The 24,656-nt window shown below is 33.1% G+C and overlaps 1 pseudogene across 4 annotated transcripts in view, besides 2 other annotated features; it reads left to right on the top strand.

Moving 5' to 3' along the window:
• Positions 359–884: an enhancer, noted in NCBI's record as "H3K27ac-H3K4me1 hESC enhancer chr8:39380402-39380927 (GRCh37/hg19 assembly coordinates)". NCBI's record gives its function as "activates a minimal SCP1, AML or CMV promoter by ChIP-STARR-seq in naive H9 embryonic stem cells {active_cell/tissue: H9 hESC(naive)}" and the evidence as "EXISTENCE:reporter gene assay evidence [ECO:0000049][PMID:30033119]".
• The window catches only part of ADAM3A (ADAM metallopeptidase domain 3A (pseudogene)), a 71,945-nt pseudogene continuing 48,066 nt past the window's right edge, over positions 778–24,656 (top strand). For all 4 annotated transcript variants that reach the window (NR_001569.3, NR_024106.2, NR_024107.2 and 1 more), the window contains exons 1-9: positions 778–1,014; positions 9,612–9,666; positions 11,111–11,189; positions 17,895–17,971; positions 18,249–18,426; positions 19,728–19,793; positions 22,781–22,852; positions 23,109–23,275; positions 24,352–24,433. The product of NR_001569.3 is annotated as an ADAM metallopeptidase domain 3A (pseudogene), transcript variant 2 (transcript). The remainder of the gene's footprint in view (positions 1,015–9,611; positions 9,667–11,110; positions 11,190–17,894; positions 17,972–18,248; positions 18,427–19,727; positions 19,794–22,780; positions 22,853–23,108; positions 23,276–24,351; positions 24,434–24,656) is intronic.
• Positions 885–1,411: an enhancer, noted in NCBI's record as "H3K27ac-H3K4me1 hESC enhancer chr8:39379875-39380401 (GRCh37/hg19 assembly coordinates)". NCBI's record gives its function as "activates a minimal SCP1, AML or CMV promoter by ChIP-STARR-seq in naive H9 embryonic stem cells {active_cell/tissue: H9 hESC(naive)}" and the evidence as "EXISTENCE:reporter gene assay evidence [ECO:0000049][PMID:30033119]".

The following is a 24,656-nucleotide window of genomic DNA, read 5'->3' as shown; positions in this document are numbered from 1 at the left end:
CTGAAAAGTAGGCTTAAAAAGCATTAAGATCATAATTTTTATATTGTGTATTTTACTACAATACAAATGTTACAATAAATAATAAATTGAAAAAAAATTGAAATTAGGCAAACCACCTACTTATACAGTAAGAGATAAAATAAAATTATTTCCAACTAACTATATTATCATTCCTTGTGTGAACTCCATATTGATGGGGGAAAATATGTCTGGCTTTTCATTAAGTCTCCCTAAGCCATAAAGCTTTTCTAAGAAACAAAAGTGTGGAAAAGTCAATAAATAAATGGATTTTGATTGTTTTTATGAAGTAATTTTATAGGTGTGATTTTTTTGCCTGATACTTATAAATCGTACTAAAATAATAAAATACATCCATATATCCATATTTCGCATTTTACTTAAACTCCTTAGACAGTTTTCTAAGAAATTGATTTTTTAGTTTTTAGTATCTGTTTGTGTTTTCACCTGAGTCTTAAGAGCAGAAAACTAGAAGTAGATATTACTAAAATTGGCAATTGGCTGCTGCTAAACATACTATGATTCTTATTTTTTTTTTTTCTGTTTTCCTTCACTACAGTAATTCAACTGTCTTCCCAGAAGGCTATGATGTTGAACAATCATATTGCCAAGGCTTCATCAGCAAAAGGTCTAGAGTAGAAATGTGCTTTATAACCCTATGTTACCCCTGAATGCGTTGTAAATGTCAACTCTTTAGAAAAAAGAGCCCACGTACCCAGAAATGCAGGCTCCCACGTGCCTCCTCCGGTGCAGCCCACTGTGGGTGGGCGCGCGGGGCTGTAGGATCCACCCGCCTCGGGATCCACGGAGCTGGGTCCCCGCCGCGCCCCGCGGACCCCACGGCCCTTCCGCTCCGCTCGGCCTCCACCACCCTGGCCTCGAGCTGCAGCCGTTCCAAGGACAACGGCCATCCCTGTGGCTGGGCCGCCGGCTACGCAATGCTGTCTCTCTTGCTGATCCTCTCAGGCCTGGGCCGGCTGACCTCCGCGGGCCCACGTAAGTAAAGAGCCCTGCAGGAGAGGAGGCCGCCTTTCCGCTTTCGCCTTTGGCAAGGCCTAGAAGCGCAGGCCAGGCTGGGAAGGGGGCCCCAGAACTGCTTACAAGTGTCGGACCCCAGGCTGCAGTGGGAAGTGGGGATGCCGGATGGGGTCTGGGAGCAGCAGCCCACACTTCTCCCACGCAGGGCTGAAGTCACCAAACCCTGAAGTGTCCTTGGGCAGAGCTAGGGTAAACCTCCCACGCCTGGAGGAGCGTCTTCCTGGAACTGGACTCGTGTGTGTGTGTGTGTGTGTGTGTGTGTGTGTGTGTGTGTGTGTGTGTGTGTGATGGAAGCTTAAAGAGTGATAAGAAAGGACACTGTGACATGAATACACTGGGAATGCTCACATATGCTTTTCCTCATGCAGATTCTGAAACACCAGTTCTGCAAATTACAGTACCACAGAAGATCCAGACAAACACCAATGATGGTGATGTTTCAGAAACGCATGTAATTAAGAGATCACCTTTTAAAATTATGGTGTTTTGTTTTTTCTGGACTACATGGCCCCAATCAATTCATACATATCCCTTTGTGAAATTTAGTTTGTGTTCTAATTTACCGTGCTAAGGAGTCATTTGGTCTGAATGACAGCAAGACTTTGATATTTTTTTCATTTCTCAATATATGAATGTTAGATAACTGTTTTAAAACAGAGATTCAGGAAAAGAATCCCCAAATTCCTATAACACAAAGGAACCATATTCAGTCTACTGGGTTCTTTTAGAAAATATGTACATTTAAATCTGTGTTATTATATAGTTGAGGTCATACTAATATTTACCAAGCAACATGTTTTTAACATGATAATATATAAAGACTATCTTCATGCCTATACATGTATATATAAATCCTTTGTAAATGAAAGTAATGTCATCTTTCATCTGATTAGAACAGGAAAGTAGGTATGTTGTAAAATTAAATTGAGGTAATACAGAGAATGCTGAATACAGTGAATGTCCACACCAGTCTCTAAAAATAATAAATTTATACTAAATGAATATTTAAACACACATGCACATGCACACATATATTTTTAACGATTATATATGACTGCGATTGACTTTTTCATTTATTTATAAATATTGGATTTACTTTTATGGTAATTAATATGGCTCTGTCATTTTTATGACTTCATGATATGTCATATGGATGTAACATTTATCAAATTTTCAACTCGTAGATAGTTTCATAAAATTTCTTTGATAGTTGTTTATGTAGATCAATGGGCAAGCCATTACAACTTTTTGTAAACATTGCAGAATATCTTCCAGAAAAGTTGCATTACATTTGACTCTCATTAACAAACAATAGTGATATATATCTTTTTGAACTGTCACTAGGCTTTGTTCAATTTTCTCATTTCCACTAACACACACAAACACACACACACACACACCACTGTGAGAGATAAGCATTGTTTTTTAATGATGAAATATTCAGCTCACTAGGAACATTTAACAGTTCTGAAGTTGTATAAATTTAATAAAATGCATTCAGCACCTAGAAAGTGAAAATTCATAGCTCTAGAGGAAGAAATGGTCAAATCCATTTCCATAGCGAGATCTTAAAATGTTTTCCTCAAATGTTGGTTGACAAATCATAAAAAAATTCATAAAGATAAAGAAAATTTGAACAACAAAAATATTTTTATCCAGTGGATATATATAGAACATGAACCCAGTGAGTGAATATATTGTTTTCTCCAGTTCTGATATGTTTTAGGACTCACTAGACTCTACAGTTTATTACACATGAATCCAAGAAACATTCACTGTGAGCTCCCTGTTTAGAAACACAATCTCTGTGTTCCTAAAGCATACTGAGTCTACCAACAAGAACTACAGGAGAAATTTTGGCTTTTGGAGAAGTCAGCTGAAATCTTTCAGTGACTCTTTAAATAGTCAAGCAGGGCTTGTCAAAATAATTAGGCAAACACTGAGGAGGCTTCCTTGGCCAGGGACGTTTTGAGTTCTGAAAGCCCATTATAAATATCACTCACTGCCTTTGTTTTGGACAAGAATCTGAAATATCCAGATGTGTAGGGATCCCCAGATCTAAAGATAGAGCTTTGCCAATCCAGCTGTAATTTAGCTCTATGCCACTGTAAGTAATGTATATTCTTCTGAAGAATATATAGAACAGTCAACAAAATTGATGATAGTAAAGAAAGAAAATTAAAAATCAAATACTGGTAGTATAAAACTAGTTATATGGTAACAATCAATTAGAATAAAACTTAACAAGGAACTCAAAAATGCATTTAGAAATTTGTAGATGTACTTCTATATATTTCACAGGGTGAAGAAGAAATAAGTGATAATGGATATTACACAATACATGATGGACAAGATAAATAAATTACATACAGAAATTTGACATGCACTTGAAAAGTGCATAGGAATATAACTAAAATATATATAATTAACCAATATTTTACCTGACAAACCTCTCATTCAGAAATGAGGGATAAAAAATATCCTGTACAAACAAAGCCTGAGGAAGTTTATTACCACTAGGCTTGCCTAATAAGAAATGCTAAAAGGAGTTATTTAAGCTAAAATGAAAGGAGGATAAATTATAAAAGGAGCACATATGAAAGTGTAATACCCACTGGTAAAGGTAAATATAAGTCAATTTCAAAATACTATAATACTGTATTAGTGGTGTATGAATCACTTATAACTCTAACATAAAGGTTAAAAGTCAAAAGTGTTAAAATAACTATCACTACCATAGTTTGTTAATGAATACAAAATATAAAAAGATGAAAAATTTGACATAGATAACATAAAATTATGTGTATGTGTAGAAGTAATATTGCATAGTTTTTGTATGTGATTGAAGTTAAATTTCTAGTATCTTAAAATAACCTGATATAACTATATGTTTATGTAAGCCTCATGGTAAACCATGAAGCAAAAATCTATAGTAAATAAACAAAAATTAAAGAGAAAATAATCAAGAGATACCACTGCAGGATAACATCAAATCACAGAGGAACACAGCAAGAGAGGAAGAATGCACAAAACAACATATAAAACAGCCAGAGAACAATAATCAAAATGGCAATAGTAAGTCTTCATGTCAATAATTACTCTAAATGTAAATGGACTATAAACTCTCCATTCAAAAGACATAGAGTGGCTGAATGGGTTAAAAGTATCCAAAGATATGCTGCTTGAGAGAGACACACTTCTGCTTTAAGAACACGCAGGGGCCGAAAGTGAAGGGATAGAAAAGGATATTGCATGGAAATCAAAATCCAAAGAGGAAAGGAGTTTCTATGCTTTTATGAGACAAAAATAGAATTTAAGTCAAAAACCGTAGCAAAAGGCAAAAAAGTCATAATGTAATCATAAAGGGGCCAGTTAATCAAGAAGATACAACAATTTAAAGTGTATATGCACCCAGCACAGAGCCCCCTAAATGTATAAAGCAAATTTAAACAGAATTGAAATGAGAAATAATATTAACAGAGGACTTCAATACCCCAGTTTCAACCATGGATAGATGTATACAGCAGAAAATGAATAAGGAACATTTAGACTTAAACTGCACTTTAGACCAAATGGACCTAAAAGACCTCTATAAAACATTCCATCAAATAGAAACAGGGAAAAATAGGAAACTCCGAAATAAGTGGAAATTAAACAACACCTTCTTAAACAACCAATTGGTCTAAGAAAACAAAGGGTAAAAAAGAAAAGAGTAGAATAACCATAGAATAGAGTAACAAAACTAAGAGTTATATTTTTAAAAATATAAATAAAATTAATAAACCTTTAACAATATTAGGAAAAGCAGAGGGCTCAAATATGCAATACCAGAAATAAAGGAGGAGACATAACAATTGACATCACCAAGTAAAAGCATCATGCTATGAACAATTTTATGCCAACAAACTGCATAACCTGGAAAAAATGGACAGCATCCTAGAAACAATCTACGAAGAGTGAATAATGAAAAACAGAAAATCTGAGGAGATCAGTAACAAGTAAGACTGAATCAATAATCAAAAATCTCCTACAAAGAAAAGTCCAGGACCAGATGACTTCACTGGTGATTTCTACCAAATACTTTTTTTTAGAAAGAGTAAATAACAATTATTCTCAGAGTTTTCCAAAAAATGGAAGAGGAAGGAGCACTTCCAAACTTATTTCATGAAGCCAGTATTACAATATTACTCTAATATCAAAGTTGGATTGAGATACTCCAAAATAAAAACGTGAGCCAATATCCCTGGTCAAAGATGCAAATATCCTCAATAGAATACTACCAAATTCAACAGCACAATAAAAGGACTGTATGTCATGATCAACTGGGATTTATTCCTGGGATTCAAGGATTGTTAAACATATGCAAATGAGTACAAATATGCCACATTAACAGAATAAAGGATAAAAATCATATAATCATCTCAATAGATAAAGAAAATGCTTTAGACAAAATCCAGCATTCTTTTATGATAAAAATTCTCAACTAATTGGGTACAGAAAGAATTTACTTCAAAATAATACAGGCCATAAATGACAGGCCTACATCTAACATCATACTCAATATGGAAAAGCTGAAAGCTTTTCCTCTAATATCATGAAAACTACACTGGTGCCCAGTCTCACCACTACTGTTAAACATTGAACTTCATCTGCTTGTAACGAAGGCCAAGTGGACCACTCCCAAAGACAACTTGGAAGTGCGTCCCCGACAGCAGTCCTCACTTCAACTCAGTCTTTAAAATTGTATTTTGTGCCTCGGTTTCTTCCTGTAGGTCTTTTGACCCCTCCTGGCCGGGGCCACTCAGTGTAGGCCCAGTGGAAGCCGGAATTCACATCCTCACCCAGGGGCCCACGAAGCCCCCCCTGCAAAACCCTCTCAAGGCTGGGCTAGGCCACATTTTTGTGCATTCCCACGGTCCATCCCCTGTGCATTTCCACCAGGAGACTGGGTTATTGTAATCTCCAATATCCTTGTCTGCCACCCACACTGCACCTAGCAGGGCTGTGCCTTGCTCACTCTGCTATCTCCAGTACCCACTGCTTAGGGGGCCTTTGTGAGCATGTTCTGAAGCAAGAAAGGGAAGGTGTGGGGAGAACAGCTTGAAAAAGGTAAAGAGATCAGGCCGGGCACAGTGGCCATGCCTCTAATCCCAGCAATTTGGGAGACCAATGTGGGCAGATCACTTGAGCTCAGGAGTTTGAGACCAGCCTGGCCAACATGATGAAACCCCATCTCTGCTTAAAAAAAAAAATAGCTGGGTGTGGTGGCATGCATCTGTAATCTCAGCTACTCGGGAGATTGAGGTAGGAAAATCGCTTGAACCCCAGAGGCGGGGTTGCAGTGAGGCAAGGTAGCACCCTTGCACTCCAGCCTGGGCAACAGAGTGAGACTTTGTCTCAATAAAAGAAATAAATAAAATAAAATAAGTGTATCTGTGGCTTCATTTCTTACATAACACCCCACATTTATTCAAAGAAATCTGAGAACTGCCAATGCCTTGCTCTCAGGAAACAAGCACAGGAAAACTAAATCGTTGCATGCTGTCAATGGCGGAGTGTGCAAGTGACAGGAGATGTGGTGCTTCCAGTGAAGAGGCCAAGGGATGGGGACACTTGGAAAATCCCAAGCCAGGCCTGAGCTGCCAACTACAGCCAAATGGAGTATTGCCTTCTCCAAACACAGATGGGACTTGGATGGCAGCCACTGGTCTTAAGCAGGGAAGACCTAAGTCACCTTAAGTGTCCTGTGAGATACCACAGTCTTTGCCAAGAGAGAGGAAGTGCCCGTGCAGGCCCTGACGTAAAGCCCCTAGCTTAGGAAGTCCTTCTGACCTTACTTTTCTTGGATAGCCCTTCCCCTACAATTAGATGAGAGAAACTTGCCTCTTTGCGAGATAAGACTAACATTATCTTTGGACTTCACCATAGGTGGAAGTTGCACCAGAAGGGTTATTCAGGAAGATAAAATAAAATGCCTCCAAGTGAAATTGTCTATTATCAGATGACATGATCTTATACATAGAAAATCCTAAACATTCTACATGAAGAAAAGGTTAGAACAAAGATATGAATTCAGTAAAGTTGCAGTATCCAAAAACCAACATAAAACAGATCAGCTGTATTTCCACATACTAACAGTAAACTAGCTGAGGAATAAATTTTTAAAAAAATTTATAATACCATTAAAAAGAATAAAATATTTAGCAATAAATTTAACTATGGTAGTGAGAGATTTGTACGCTGAAAACTGCAAGCTGTAAATTGATAAGAAAAATTGAAAAAGACAGAAACAAATGGAAAGATATCCCTTACTCATGGATTGGAAGAATTAATATTGTTAAAATGTGCATATTACCCAAAGCAGCCTCCAGATTCAATGCAATGATGCAATGCCCATTGACATTCCGATGGCATTTTTCACAGAAACAAAAAAAAAACTAAACTAAAATTCTCATGAAACCACAAAAGACTCAAAATAGTTAAAACAATTCTGAGTAAAAAACCCTGATGCACCATCACACTTCTTCATTTCCAATTATATTACAATGAAATCACTACCTCATAAAGATATTTGCACTCTCATGTTCATTGGAACATTATTCACAACAGTCAAGATATGAAAATAACCAAAATGTCCATATACAGCTGAATGGATAAATTGTGGTATGTATATATTTATATATGAAATAGAATGTTATTCTGTCTTAAAAAAGAAGTAGACTCTACCATTGTGATAACATGAAATAAGGTAAAGGACATTATGCTATGTGACATAAGCTAGACACAGAATGAAAAATTCTGCCTGATCTTACCTATATGTGGAATTTCAAAAATTTTCATATATAGAAGCTTGGAGTAAACAATGGTTACCAGGGACTCAATGTGAGGAGGAGAGTGCAGGGGCAAATGTGAAAATATAGGTAAAAAGGTACAGAGTTGTAGTTATATAGGATGAAAACATCTAAGAAATCTAATGTGCAAGAGAAGAACTGCAGTTAACAATATGATGTTTTATACTGGTAATTTGCCAATAAGTAGATTTTAGGTACTCTTACCACCAAAACAACAACAAGGAAAATATAAAAGAAAGTAACTATATTAGAATGATGTATATTTTAATTTGCTTGATTGCAAAAATCACTTATCTATTTCTATATCAAGATAAGACTATCAAAAACTTATGTTGTATACTTTAAATATATACAATATATTAAAAGTAAATTATATATCTATCATAATCAAAAGAGTATGGCATTAATCTCTGGGTATATGGATAAAGAAAATGTAGATTGATAGATGATCGATCAGTTGATCGATAAATAGACAAACAACAGAAAGTATTCAGTTTGTAAAAAGAAGGAAATCCTGCCATCCATCATTTGTAACAACCTGGTTGTACCTGGAGGACATTATGCTAAGTGAAATAAGCCAGACACACAAAGACAAATACTGCATTATCTCACTTATATGTAGTATCTTAAAAAAAGTCAAACATATAGTAACAGAAATTAGATGGTAGTCACCAGGGGTTGGAAGTGTGAATGAAAAGAGAAGATATTGGTCAAATATGTTTAAAATTTATTAATTTCTTATATAATCTTATAACTTTGAGTTATAACTTTGAGTTATAAGATTAATAAATTCAGAAGATCTAATGCACATCATGGTCACTATAGTTAATAATAATGTTTTGTTTACTTAACATTTGCTAAGAATAGATCTCAAATGTCTCACCACAAATGATAAAATGGTAACTATGTGAGGTGATGGATACAGTAATTTGATTGTTTTAATCATTTCACAATGTATATGTATGTTAAAACATCATACACATCTTATATACACTTTAAATAAATAATAAAACTTGTTTTTCAGTCGTAGCTCAATAAAGTTGAAAAAAATAAAATTGCCTTAAACCATTCTGGAAATGAAAGGGACTTTTATTATTGATACAAATATCAATTTATCATGAAGATATCACCACATTTAATCTTTTTGGAAGACCATACTAAATCTATCTGAAACAAGAAACCTCCATTAAATGGAGGGGCTTCTAATTAAATGTGGGCTGTCCCAGAAAGTTGTGACTTTGTATAAGATGACTCTTTTGAGCTAAGGCAATAGCCAAAGTGGGTAAGGAGATGAGGATTGCCTGTGGGTAGTACCTCTGGCAGCTGGGCAATAATTATTTTATTCTTAACTGGGAACCTGTGCTGCATTATTTTATTTTCAATTTATTTGTGCTGAGAGCTGCAAAATAGAACAAAGATAACAAAATTCAAGTTTTTTCAACTGTTTCTCAGCATTTCTAAACATAATCCCCATTTTGACTTCAAATCTCATAATAATACATGCTAATGATTAATGATCTGAGTTTTGAAATTTAGACTCCTTGTGTTTATTTAAATTACAATTAATTCTGTTATACATTCCAATTTTGATACATGCAGGATATAACCTACATTCATATGAATGAATATATGTTTCAAGGAACTGCAACATTTAAGAAGTTAGAATCTCTACCAATTACTTTCTCTCTGAATATTTTGCTACAGGCCACTTATTCCATCAAAATTGAGGGGAAACCATACACTTCCTGCTTGAAAAACAGTAAGTTACCATTTTTTTCATTCATTATTTTTAGTGTCTTAAATTTTTACAATCACTACCCTAAATTGAGCTTAAATAAGAGACTGAATATTAGATTTATTTAACATTGTATATCTTCTCTGTGATTCATTTTAGTGATTAATTTCAGGTTGTCATTTTGAGACTGTTTCAGGGAGGGGCTATGCCTTTTCCTAGGTTCCAGAAGGAAGGCAGGATGGAGCCGAATCTTTAGTAAACTTGCGAAGGACACTCATTGCTGTTTTATGACACTAAGAATTTTGGGGTTGTTTTTACCAAAGTATAACACCATGAAAACTAATGTAAATATATAAAATCTATTGTTACTTGTTAACAAATACTAACTAAGGTATATGAGCCATAAAATTACAGTTGAATCTAAAAGAAAACCCCTTTTGAAATCTGGCAGACCTACTTATTACTGTACATAAATCTGTGTCTGTCAGTGATTTTATTTATTTATTTTTATTTATTTATTTTTTTTTGAGACAGAGTCTCGCTCTGTCACCAAGCTGGAGTGCAGTGGCATGATCTTGGCTTACTGCAACATCCACCTCCTGGGTTTAAGTGATTCTCCTGCCTCAGCCTCCCAAGTAGCTGGGATTACAGGCACGCACCACCACTCCCAGATAATTTTTGTATTTTTAGTAGAGTCGGGGTTTCACCATGTTGGCCAGGATGGCCTCAATCTCTAGACCTTGTGATCTGCCTGCCTCGGTCTCCTAAAATGCTAGGATTACAGGCATGAGCCACTGCACCCGGCCATTTTATTTTATTTGATTTTATTTTATTTATTTATTTTATTTTATTTTTTTATTTTTTTATTTCATTTCATTTCATTTATTTTATTTTATTTTATTTTATTTTATATTTTATTTTATTTTATTTTATTTTTGAGACAGGGTCTTACTCAGTCACCTAGGCTGGAGTGCAGTGGTGCAATCATAACTCACTGCAGCCTAGATTTCTTGAGCTCAAGCCATCCTCTCACCTTGGCTTCCCAAATAGCTAAAACTACAGGCACATGCCACCATGACCCACCAATTTATTTTTATTTTTATTTTTAGTAGAGATGAGGGGTCTCCATATGTTGCCCCAGCTGGACTTGAACTACTGAGCTCGAGCAATCCTCCAGGTTTGGCCTTCCAAAGTGCTGGGATAACAGGTGTGAGCCACTGCACCTGGCCCTAGATGATTATTTTAAATTCATTAAAGCATCCACACATTTTTCTGATTATACTGGTTATTATTCTTTCTTATATTCACAATATGCTATCAAAAAGCAGCAAGTTAATATAGAGATAAGTCCATTTCATTTTTAGATGTTTGTATTGAAAGTAAATTTTGTTTAATTTTATTATTCTGGAAGTTATTTTTTAATTAATGACATAATTACAATGAAGTGTCATTATTTTGATTGAATTAGGTCATTTTTACACCCACATTTCCTGGTGTATTTATACAACAAATCAGGAACATTGTATGCAGATTCTTCATTTTCAAAGGTAAGTTTTGGTTTCTGCCAAGTAAATTTACATTTTTTATGTGGTTAAGGTGCCATTGTTGAGGAGGAAATGAATGCTTTATGGCCCACATAATTATTGAGAAAACAGATTACAAAATTAAATATAATGTGGCAATTACTATGAAAGCATATTGAATAGAACAACTACTTTTTTGAAAATTGGGAACTTAGGAATCATTTCTCCAAAAAGGACATTTAAACTTTGTATGTCTGAAAGTATTAGTAGGAGTTTTAGGGGAAAAAAGGTGTCTGAAGGAGCTAAGACACACTGAGAAGTTTCAATTGATATATGAGAGGGCCTGGGCAGTGGAGAAAATCGTAGACATTACCGTACAGAAAGACTCCAGGGAACTGGTGAGAGTGAGAATGCGAGAAAGTAGACAGTGTACCAAACCTTAATAGGTCCACATGTGAAACCGCAGAATTTGAGTTATATCAGAAAAGCTTTTTCTTTTTCTTTTTCTTTTCTTTTCTTTTTTTTTTTTTTTTTTTTTTTTTTTTTTTTTTTTTTTGAGATGAGGGCTCATTCTGTCACCCCAGTGCAATCTTGGCTCACTGCAGCCTCTGCCTCCCAGACTCGGGTGATCCTCCCACCTCAGCCTCCCAAGTAGCTGGGACTGTAGGTACCAACACCACACCCAGATAATTTTTGTATTTTTAGTGGAGTGGGGGTTTCACCATGTTCCCTAGGCTGGTCTCGAGCTCCTGGGTTCAAGTAATCTGCCTGCCTTAGCCTCCTAAAGTGCTGGGATTACAGGCTGAAAGACATTAAAGAGTCAAGAAAGGTTTGAAATTATGTGAGAAAATTCACTTTACCCTGTAAGATATTTATTACACCCTGTAAGGTATTTATTACTCTGTAAGACATTTATTCACGTGACTGGGAGGAAGTGAAAGGCAATGACTGGTCACACTCTATTGCTATATTGGAACTGAGAGATGATGAAATCTACGGTATGGTAACTGGTAAAGGATTTTCCCTCCCTACCAAATTACAATTAGAAGTCAGAAAAAGAAAAATACGTGAGGCACCCGTTTTGAGATATGTGACAATAGGCCCATTAGGAATTTTGTACCTGAGAGAATGTAAGCACAGGAGGTGAATTTCATGTTTAAGTTTGCCCCCTACTGTAGATAGTCTGGACCATAGCATCCAGACGTGGAACCAAGCAGAAATCTGAGAGTTTGGAGTTTAAGGTTGCTGATTACTGTTGATTTTTAAGTTTTCTATATTTTGAATATGACCTTTGTCAAACATGTGCATTGCAAATATTTTGGCCCTGTCTGTGATTTGTCTTACTTTTCTTTTTTTTTTTTTTTTTGATACGGAGTCTTGCTCTGTCGCCCAGGCTGGAGGGCAGCGGGGCGATCTCGGCTCACTGCAAGCTCCACCTCCCAGGTTCACGCCATTCCGCCATTCTCCTGCCTCAGCCTCCTGAGTAGCTTGGGACTACAGGCGCCCGCCACCACGCCCAGCTAATTTTTTGTATTTTTAGTAGAGATGGGGTTTCACCGTGTTAGCCAGGATGGTCTCGATCTCCTGACCTCATGTTCCACCCACCTCAGCCTCCCAAAGTGCTGGGATTACAGGCGTAAGCCACCAAGCCCGGCCGATTTGTCTTACTTTTCAAATGGTCTGCCACTGGTCAAAAAGTTTTATTTTTGATGAAGACTAATTTATCAACAATTTCTTGTTGTGATTGGTTGTTTTCATGTCAAACCTACGGACGCTACATAGCAGTAGTTTCTGAAGACTTTCTGGGTTTTTTTTAAGTTTATACTTTACATTTAATTCTTTATCTATTTTGAGGTAATTTTGTATAAGGTGTGGAATTTGGATCAAAGTTCAGTCTTTTGACTAGATGTATATTAGTTACAACACTATATTTTTAAAAGGCTATATTTCTGCTTTGAATCGCTCTTTTAACTACTTTGTCAAAAAAAAATCCATGGATCTAGTGTGGATATATTTCTGGATTGTTAACTACAGTGGTTTTTCCCACTTTATTATTCTTTTTTAAACTTTTTAAGCTATTCTGTTCTAGATATTTTGCTTTTTCATGTAAGATTTAGATAAAGCTACTCCATGTGCAAATAAAAAAAAAAAACTTGCTAGGATTGTGATAGAAATTGTGTTAAATCTGTAGATCAATTTGGGGAGAACTGATGTCTTTACTATGTTAACTTTTCCAATCCACAAACACAGTAAGTCTCTCTATTTATTTGGTCTTTTACGTATATCTTTCACTAGTGTTTTTGTTATTTCAGCTTTCAGATCCTATACATTTTTTAGGTTTATACCTAAGTATTTCATTTTATTGGAACAATTGTAAATGATATTGTGTTTTAATTTTAGTTTCCACCTGTATATTGTTCTTTTCTAGTGATGCAATCCATTTTTCAGGTTTCATCTACTATTCTACAATCTTGCTAAATTCACATATTAGTTCTAGAAGGGCTTTTTAATAGATGCCTTGAGACTTCCTACATAGACACGTCTTTAACAAATATAGACAATTTTCCTTCTTCATTTTCAACCAGTATGTAAGTCTGCTTTTCATTTCTTTGCTTTGCCTCACTGTAATTTGCTAAAATGTCCAGGACCATGTTGAATAACCGTAGTGAGGGCATTCTTCGATTATTCCCAATTTCATGGAAAACATATTCAGTCTTTCATTGTGAAAAAATAATTTTGGCTTTAGGTTTTTTTATAGTCTCTGTATTAAGTTGAGAAAATTCTCTATTTCTAGCCTGCTAAAAGTTTATGTTGTTCTTTTTGTTCATTAATGGCTATTTAGTTACAGAAAATGCTTTTTCTGCATCAGTTGATAGGATTACAAGTTTTTCTTTTCTTTTTTGGCCTTTTGGCATGTTGGATCGAATTGATTTATTTTTAAATCTTGAAATAGTTTTGCATACCTAAAAAATTACAACCAAGTCCTGACATGTATAATTATAATTCCTTTTACACATGACTTATTATCTTGAGGTTTCTCTCCTCAGTATTCATGAGAGATACTGATCTGCAAGTTTTGTTTTGTACTGGCTTTGTTTGATTTTTGTATTAGGCTCATAATAATGTATGTATAAGGTCCTATAAAGGAAGCTGAGATTTGCTTTTTCTGCATCTATTAATTTCATCCTGTAAGTTGTATTATTTATTATATAATATGGTGTACCACATTAATTGATTTTCTTATGTTGAACCACTGTTATATTCCGGAGATAAATCCCACCTTGTCATAGTGTAGGACACTTTTAATACGCTGTTGAGTTCAGATGTTTTTGAGATTTTTTTCCATCTATGTGCATCAGTGATATTGGCTTGTCGTTTTCTTTTCCTGTAATGATTTATGTGGCTGTGGTGTCTGGCCTCATAGAATAAGTTTGGAAGTGTTTCCTCTTTCAGTTTTTTGCAAGAGTTTAAGAATGGTTGTTCTGGCATTAATTATTCTTTAAATATTTGATAGAGTTCAACAGTAAAGTTCTCTGATCCTGCTCTTTTCTTTGTTGGTAGGTTTTGATTACTGATCTAATATTCATTCTAGTTGTGAGTCCTTTTAAATTTTCTACTTCGTTATGATTCAATCTTGGCTGTTTGTATGTTTCTAGAAATTTATCAATTTCTTTTGGATTATCCAGTTTGCTGACAGAAAATTGTTCATACTAGTCTCTTACATGATCTTTTTCTGTTTCTGTGGCATTAGTTGTAATGTCTCTGTTTTATTTCTGATTTTATTTATTCGCATCCTTTCTATTTTCTTAGCATAGCTAAGTTTGTCAATTTTGTTTCAAAAAATGAACTTCTTTGTTTCTATATTGGTTTTTCTATTTTTATTTGGTTTATTTCTGTTCTAATCTTTGTTTTTTAAATTTTCTCTGCTAATTTGGGACTTAGTTTTATCGTTGTTTTTCTAGTTTCTTCAGGTAAACATATGTGAGATATGCCTTTTTTTTAATGTAGGCATACATTGCTACGAACTTTTCTCGTAGTATTGCTTTTCCTGCATCCGTTTGTTTTAATATTTTTTGTTTACTTTTATTTTTATGCTTTCACTTATTTCAAGGTATTTTCTAATTTCTTCAGCCAATAGTTTCTAATTTCTTCAGCCAATTCTTTCAGCCAATAGTTATTCAATAGTGTGTTAATTTCAATATTTGTTAATATTTTAGTTTGCCTTATACTATTTATTTTTAGCTTCATTCTATTGCGTTCAGAAAAGACGCTTGTTATGATTTCAATCTTTTTAAAATTTTTAGATTTGTTTTTTAACCTAATATGTGATCTGTCTGGAAAAGATCCAAGTGTACTTTAGAAGAAAGTATATTCTTCCGCTGTTCAATGAAATCCTTTATATGTTTGTTAGAACTATTTGGTTTATAGTAATATTCAAATCTTCTGTTTTCTTATTAATCTTCTCTTTGGATGTTCTATTCATTATTTAAAATAAGGTATTAAAGTCTCCTATTATTATAGTATTGGTGTCTATTTCTTCCTTCAGATTTATTTATTTATATGTTCTAATATTGAGTGTGCACATATTTATAAGTAATCTATCTTCTTCAGATATTGACCCTTTTATTATTATAAAATGTCATTTTTTCTCTTATGATGATTTATGTGTCAAAATCTATTTTCTTTGATATAAGTATACAAATCTCTGCCCCTTTTGCTTACCATTTGCATGGAATTTATTTTTCCATCTCTTTACCTTCATCCTATATGTGTGCTTAAGTCTCAAGTGAGTTTCTTATAGATTTTATAAGAAATCCATAATGATTTGTATAGCATTCTTTTTGGCTTTTTTTTTTCTTTCAGCACTTTAAAAAAATATTTCATCCCACTCTCTTGTGGCCAGCAAGGTTTCTCCTTAAAAAAAAAAAAAAAGTCTGCTCATAGTCCTATGGAGTTTCCTTTGTATGCGACAAGTTGCTATTCTTTTGTAGTTTACAAAATTCTCTTTGTTTTTGATCTTTTAATGTTTGATTAAAATAGGTCTAGGTGTAGATATCTTTGGGTTTCCTGGCAAGAGAGTGATCCAAGTCTCTCTACGAGCTTTAGTGAGTCTAGTTTTGCATCCTCCCAGCGTATATGTCTCTATATTAGTTTCTGATTACTCACAAAGGTAATTTTTCCATATAATGTTGCTGAATTGGTATGCTTGTGGGAGAAGAAGCGTCCCGGGATTCCTGTTTCACAATCTGGCTGACCAAAATTTCAGTACTAATATTTTAAATATTATTTAAACCCCATTTTTTTCTTTTTAAAGTATAAATTATAGGTCTTCTGCTATTGTTTTACAAGTTTTTGAAACATCATATATTTTTCAGCCACTTGTCCTCTATTTTGCAGGTTGGGTATATGTGATCCATTCTCCTTAAACCTGGTGATCCTATCCACTGTCATCTGTACTCCAGACTATAGAGCTTATTCAGTGTTTCACTTGTTTGTTTATTATATATTTCAGTTATAATATTTTCATTTGTTCCCTTTTTGGCTTCTATTTATTTCCTAAGATTTTCTGTTATTTCATTTATTTCAAGAGAATTTGTCATTATTCATTAATGCAATTTTTATTACTTCTTTCAAATATTTTTTGATATCCTATGACTTATCATGTCATCAGTTGATTTTCTTTTCTCATTCTTGTTGGGATATTCCTGGTCCTTGTTATAATGAATTATTTTGATTATATCCTTGACATTTAGTCAAGACTCTTGATCTTATTTTAATATTCTATTTTAGAAGACAGTCATTCAGTTTGAGCTTTGTTTTATTGGAGTCCACTGTTCCAATAACATTTTTTTCTTTACAATATTATTGTGTTGTGTTTCATTGTTCTGGCTGCATTGGACCTTCTGCTGCCTCTTAAGCGTTTAAGCTAGAGGTGTAAATCGTACTTCCCTGGGCCAGGTAGTGTTTCCGGTTGAGGTGGGTAAGGAAAGATCCATAGGATGGAGAACATTTCTCCTGTCTTTTCTCTGCTACTAGATTTCAGTGTGCTTGATTCTATCTCTGCCAGTGACCCTGGTTGAAGATAGCTCCTATCTGAATGATCTTTTTCTACTTATAGTAGGGAGAAATGGGAAGTAACTCATGAAGATCATTTTCTCCTGCTGGGTGCACAGCCAGAAGCTATTGAGTCTGGATTACTCTCTACTGCTGGAGAGAGGTTGGGACCTGGATTGCCTTCTACCTCTTTGTGAGGGGCTTATAGATTCAGGTCCTGCTGGCACCACTGCAAGTGCAGGTGACTGCTGCTGTTGCTTGACATGGAGCAGGATATGGATTTCCCTGCCTGAGTTTGTTAGTCTTGATGGTGTGAGTGTAACAGGCACATTGCTGTAAATGTGTGTTTGGGTAGGATTGATTGGTCCACCTGGGCTCTGATAACTGCTACTAGGGGTAGATTTGGCCTGCCAGTGTCAGCAAGTGGGAATAGAGATTATGCCTCATTTTGAGAAAAAGTGTATGTTACTGATGAAAATGTTTACGAGCTAATAACATAGCAGAAAAGAACTTAGAGAAAGAGATTGTAGATTGATATGGAGATTCAATACCTGATAAATACTATTATGATAATGGTTAAATATGAATGCTTGACAATATATAGGAAGTAAAGATAAAAGCTAGGACTTTGTTTCCAAATCATTTATGAATATATCTTTCTATATTCCTTTTTAGGGTCATTGCTTTTACCAAGGATATGCTGCAGACATTCCAAAATCAGTTGTGGCACTACGCACCTGTTCTGGACTCAGGTAATGGCGTATTCCAGATATGTACATTGAGATTTTATGTGAGCCTTTAATTTCCAGAAACTTCTTGAAGGGTAGAATAAATATAGAGGAATATAAACTTTATTTTCTTAAATACTTTTCTTTTTTACCTGTTTTGTTGATCTATTTTTCTATTCTCTTTTTCTCTATCCCAGGTGGGCAAGCATAAAATGTATTCAGAAAAAAACTCTCACTAGCATAAAATGTATTCAAATTTATCAGTAACATTTTTATTCCTTTTTTGTATTTGAATATCCAGAGGATTACTGCAGTTAGATAATATCAGTTATGGTATTGAACCATTGGAATCTTCACCTACATATAAGCATGTAGTTTATCGAATTAAAAATGATGCTATTGGTCATTCCTCCTTTCAAGAAAATTATCCTGTGGCTCAATATATAGATCAGTCCTACAGGATTCTTGTCAAATCAGACGTGAGTATTCTCATTTATGAGTTCTTCATTGGTCTTACTGTTGATAAAGTTATTCACAGTGAAATTTTGAAATTTGACACATTTGGAGAATAAATTTAAACTGATATTTATATTAAAAAGTTCAGTTGTAGGACGTTTAAAACATATATTTGTTTATTCAGATATTTAGAAAATGTAATCGTTATAAACACACATAATTCTAAAGCATCATAACATGTTTCCTTAATTGCAGGGATTTTTATAGACATATAGTTATTTTTATATTGATTTTGCATCTTACTAATAAAATTATTACCAATTTAATCAAATTGCTTTATAAGTTTTTTTGCACATGCGTTTTTTTATTTAAAAGTGTTATTTTGATAGAAAATGTAAAAGTGAAAAGGGGGCAAGATAATACACTAGAAATTGTATAAATTGTGTGAAACCTCATTGTTTAAAGATAGTGCTCTTAATATTTTGATGTAATTCTTCCAATTGTTCTAAATACCAATTTATAAATTGTGATGGTGTATACATTACTCGCTAATAAGTTTATACTTAAAATGGACACATTTTATTGAATGTAAACCCCAATAAAGTTAACATAAAGAAGTAAAAGTACAAAAATAATAAGAAAATGAAGGCAACATTAGGGGAAATGTTTACGGATGTTAGTTTACCTTGAAGATTGGTGAGGGATCGAGACCATCCTGGCTAACACGGTGAAATCCCTTCTCTACTAAAAATACAAAAAATTAGCTGGGCGTGGTGGCGGGCCCCTGTAGTCCCAGCTACTCAGGAGGCTGAGGCAGGAGAATGGCTTGAACCCGGGAGGCGGAGCTTGCAGTGAGCCGAAATCGCGCCACTGCACTCCAGACTGGGCGAGAGAACGACACTCTGTCTCAAAAAAAAAAAAAAAAAAAAAAAAAAAAAAATTGGTGAGGTAGTGGTGTGCTACAGAGTATATAGGAATGTTAAAAGGGGAAGGAAATATGGGATTTTTCATTTCAGTGACTTTTTGCCAATTCTAATGATCAATAACATAAAATAAAATGCTTCTGATTTTCTTGTAAAATTTGTATTTGGAATCCTACCTGCTAAGGGTGTACCCATCATCCTCTTGTGTTATTACTTATATCTATATTCGTGTATCTGTGTCTGAATATCTATCATCCATCTGCATATAGATAGATGGGTAGCTAAATGGATGGATATTCCATATCTCACCTGTGAGTGTGTGTGCATGTGTATTGCACATGACAACTGCAATGTAAAAATTTTGAAAATGTGTTATTTAATTCATGTCCTCTATTTCACAGATAAATTCAGGTGCCATGCTATCGAAAAGAACTCTGAAAATACAAATCATTATGGATAAAGCCATGGTATGCAATATCAGTATGTTTATTATATCTTTGCTTTTGTTGAAATTCAGAGAGAATATGAATAAAAAACAACGTTTTCAATGCAGATATATTTTAATATATCTGCATTGTGTCTCAGTCTAGCAGGAGATAAATGATTTCACTTGCCTTTACAGTGACATGGGGGATCAATATTTTTATATTGATTTCTAGACTGTGTGTCTCAGTCTAGCAGGAGATAAAGAAATGTTTTCACTTGCCTTTACAGTGACATGGGGGATCAATATTTATATATTGATTTCTAAATCGATATCAATTTTCCCAATAATGTATAACTTCATATGGAAGGGTTCCACTACACTCTAATCTATTGTAGCATATCTAGCTGCAGATACTTTTAGATCTACTCCAATTGTTGATTGAAATTCTTCAATGTATTTCTATTTTTAAGTGAGTTGTTTTATTACTCAGTTGGAAATCTTTGTTATTAAATATTATCCCTCAGAAGATTACTTTATGTTTTATAGTTGCTTACCATCTCCGGTAGAAGTTCTGTATCTTAAAAATAGGAAGAATTATAGAATGTTTAGTTTTTTCTCAAAAGAATTGATAACTATGGATGTTGGTTAAATAATACTTTACTATTAGTGTTCTTACATACCATCAATTATTTGCTTATTTGTTTCTTCTTTCCTACCCTTGGATCAAGGGGTTATATTTAACCTTTATTTTTCCCTCTATTTTTTTTTTTTTTTTTTTTTTTTGCTATGCCTCTCTTTCCAGTCTCCAACCTTAGCGGTTTCCCTAGGGATTCTGATTAGTATTCTTTACTTATCATGATCTAGAATTAATGTTATACCACTTCATTAATAATGTAAGAGCCTCAGAGCAGTAAAATTTCATTTAACCCTGGTAAGTCATTATGAATCTGTTTTTAAAGATTTTACCTCTCCATGTGTTATAAACTGAAAAATAGATTTTTAAAAATTCAATATTCAATTATTTTAAAAAGAAATTAAGGAAATGAAGTGTTTCATATATATGAATATATATTCATAAATATTCATATATATTCATATATGAATATATGTTCATATATATGAATATATATTCATAAATATTCATATATATTCATATATGAATATATGTTCATATATATGAATATATGAATATATGTTCATATATTCATATATATGAATATATGTATATATGTTCATAAATATTCATATATATGAATATATGTATATATGTTCATAAATATTCATATATTCATATATGGTCATAAATATTCATATATATTCATATATTCATAGATGTGTATTTCATATATATGAATATACATAAATATTCATATATATGAATATATATATATACACACACACACACACACACACACACACACACACATACATTTTTCACTTGCAGAGCTTTTCATACCTTGTAGTAGGTTACTTAATGTATGATATTTCTCTTTAGCCTGCTGGATTCTCTTCAGTTTCTTTTCATCTGAAATTGTCTTTATTTCATCTGCACTTTTTAAACATTTCTTTTGGAAATAATTTGAAACTTTTAGAAAAGTTACAAGAATAAAATAATACAAAGAGGGCCCTTATTCTCTTTTCTCACATTTATTAATATTGTATCCCATTATCACTTGTGCACTCTTCATTTAAATTTGAAAGTAAGTTGTGAAGCTCATCATGAAGCTTTTCTCTTACATTCTTTAGTGTGTATTTACCTAGAATAAGACTATTATCTCATATAACCACAACAGAGGTATCCATTTCACTAAAAATAACATTGTTAAAATATTTTTATCAAGTCCACTGTAACTTAGTTGCATTGTGTTCAGATAATGTGATTTAAGTGACACTCTGTTTCTTATTCAAAGCTGTGTTCTATGGCCTAATATTGGTTAATATGAATCAATGTGCATAAAACTTTCATTTGTATTTGAAAAAAAATACATATTCTCATTGTTGTATATAAGCTTCTATGTATGTATATTTTATCCAACATTGCTTTGGGTTTTTAAAGTCTTGAGTATCTTTCCTATTAATTTGTCTTCTTAATTTATGTGTTATTAAGAGACCTATTTAAAATATCTCAGTATGATAGTCAATTTCTATTTTTAATTGTGTTAAATCTTGTTTTATATATTTTGCAGCCATGTTTTTAGTTATAAGCAAATTTAAAAGTCTCCATCTCTCTGATGAATTATTTTATTAATATGTTGTGATAAGCATGTCCATTTTTTGCCTTTAAGTTTTATTCTTATCAATGTATTATGTTAGTTAATATAATTATCACATAACATATTTTTTCTTTTCTAGTATTTTCCTGATGCTAGATGATGTGTTTTCATCCTTTGATTATTAATATTTCTATGTACTTATATTTTATGGGTCCTTTACATTTTTAATTTGCATATAGTTGTTTTTTTCATTGTCTTTGCCATCTAGTGTTTGGTCTGTTGACATCTTGTGATTATTGATATATAAACACAAAACTGATATACTGATATGTAATTGATATATAGTCACAAAATTGATATTTTGATAAACAATTGATATATAATCACAAAATATCAACAGATTAAACAGTAACTAAATGACAAAGACAATAAAAAACAACTATATGCAAATTAAAATTTTAAATTAATTAATTAATTAATTTTTTTTTAAAGCTAGCTACTTGGATTACAGGCACCTGCCACCACACCGGGCTAACCAGTAGGTTATTCACTCTTCATACCTTAACACTTTGACTTTGAATTTCTTTATCTGTAAAGAGGAAGATAATCACAATTACCTCATTTTAATATCATTGATTAATTTATAAAATACTAGGCCGATGTGTAAAACTTGGTAAACTGTGATATATCTTAATTCTATTTAGTGCCTCTTCAATTGACCACTGAATTATTTTTACATTTATATTTAAATCCACTTAAAATGTGGTAGTTAGTTGTTTTTACTAGCGATTAAGAAACAAAATTTGTCTTTCAGTATGCTTATATGGGCTCCACGGTGGCAGTTGCAGTTGAGAAAGTTTTCCAAATCTTTGGTCTTATCAACACTGTGAGTATTTATATTTTATATTTTAGTAAGCAATATAGCAATTAATGACGTAAAATTATTTGTGCTTATGTACATATATATAGCATTTACATTTTAACAAAAAGTAAAAATGTAAATGTAGCCCAACCACTAATTTTATCCACCAACGACTTTATCTTCAAAAATAGTAAATTAAATATATTATCATTAGATATTGAGAAGTAGTGTCATATTTATGGTTACCCAAAATTGTAAAACACGTAATTTCTGTTCTCAGATGTTTTCCCAGCTTAATATGACAGTTATGCTGTCTTCCTTGGAGATCTGGTCAGATCAAAATAAGATTTCAACAAGTGGTCATGCTGATGAAATACTACAGCGATTTTTGCCTTGGAAACAAAAATTTTTGTTTCAAAGGTCTCATGATATGACATACTTATTAATGTAAGTACTTTATTCATATTTAGAAAGGTTTTATCAAATTATCTTAGCTATCATAATTATATATAAATTTTATATAACAATAATTATTAAAAAGCTATCTGAAGACTGTGTTGGCAAACTGCAAAATATTAAGATTCTAATAACCATGTAAGACACTAATTAAATCATGGTAGCCCATAGTAGACTGTTTACTTATAGAAATGTAACGAGCTGAAAAATGGAAAGTCTTGTGATAAAAACATGATACCTCTCTGTTTGTAAAGACCTTCTCACTAGTAAATAATTGAAACCATCACTTTAACATTACATAAATATAAGTTAATTTATTGAATGCAATAATTGCATAAAATGCTTGTTACAGTATGAAATATTAATAAATAACTAAAATAGACCACTTTATTCTCCATGTGGTTTCCTTCTGGTATTTCTGTACTGACCTAAGATGTAGCTATTTACCTACTTGTTTTGTATCTTTCAAAAGTCTTTATATACTTTTATTTTACCAACTTGATTATTTCATGTGCAAAAATCAAAAACACAATTTTAAAGACCTTAAGCAATATGTGGAACATATTTATCAATGTATTGGAATAAAGAGTGTCTAGGATTACAGAGCAATATTAAGATATAAATATGTAAGGATGGTTTCTACACCCTACCTCTCTTTCTCTTCGTAAATCTGATGCATATTTTATCTTTCTCTATCTCTTTCAGTCCTACCTTTCTTCACACTTTTGGGGTTGGTTTACTACATACAAATTACAGCAATAAACACTTTTGACTTTTATATCATGGAATTAATTATATCCTTCCAGTGATGATTAATTTTTTGAAAGAATCATGCACTGCTAGGTTTTGAGCTGTGTATTAGATAATGTTAAACAACTTTTAGGACTTAACTTTATATGAACTATAGGGGATACCCAAATCTTAATGACTGAAAGCATAAGACATTATATGTAATTTCTGTGTTTTGGAGAAAGCATACCTTTATATAGAAATCCAACTCATAAAATATGAGTAAGTTATTGCTATTTTTAAATACACATATCCACAAGAAAAATTTCATTATTCAGTTATAGGAACCATTCTACTTATGTGGGAGCAACATATCACGGAATGGCATGCGATCCAAAGTTTGCAACAGGAATTGCTCTGGTAATCTCTCACACTGTTTTGATAAATCTTTGAAAATTGTATTTTTAGATTTTGGAAATCAAATGTAATTTTACAAGAGGTTTCTTACTGGGAGTGAAAACAGGTAACATAAAATGTATAACTCTAGCCATTTTCAAGTGTACACTTTAGTAGTGTTAAGTATATTCCCATTGTTGTGAAACAAATCTCTGGAACATTTTTTCTTAAAAAACTGAAACTCTAT

This window comes from Homo sapiens, chromosome 8 (assembly GCF_000001405.40).
Source record: "Homo sapiens chromosome 8, GRCh38.p14 Primary Assembly".
In the NCBI taxonomy this organism is placed as follows: domain Eukaryota; kingdom Metazoa; phylum Chordata; class Mammalia; order Primates; family Hominidae; genus Homo; species Homo sapiens.
This window is presented reverse-complemented; position numbering and strand designations above follow the sequence as displayed.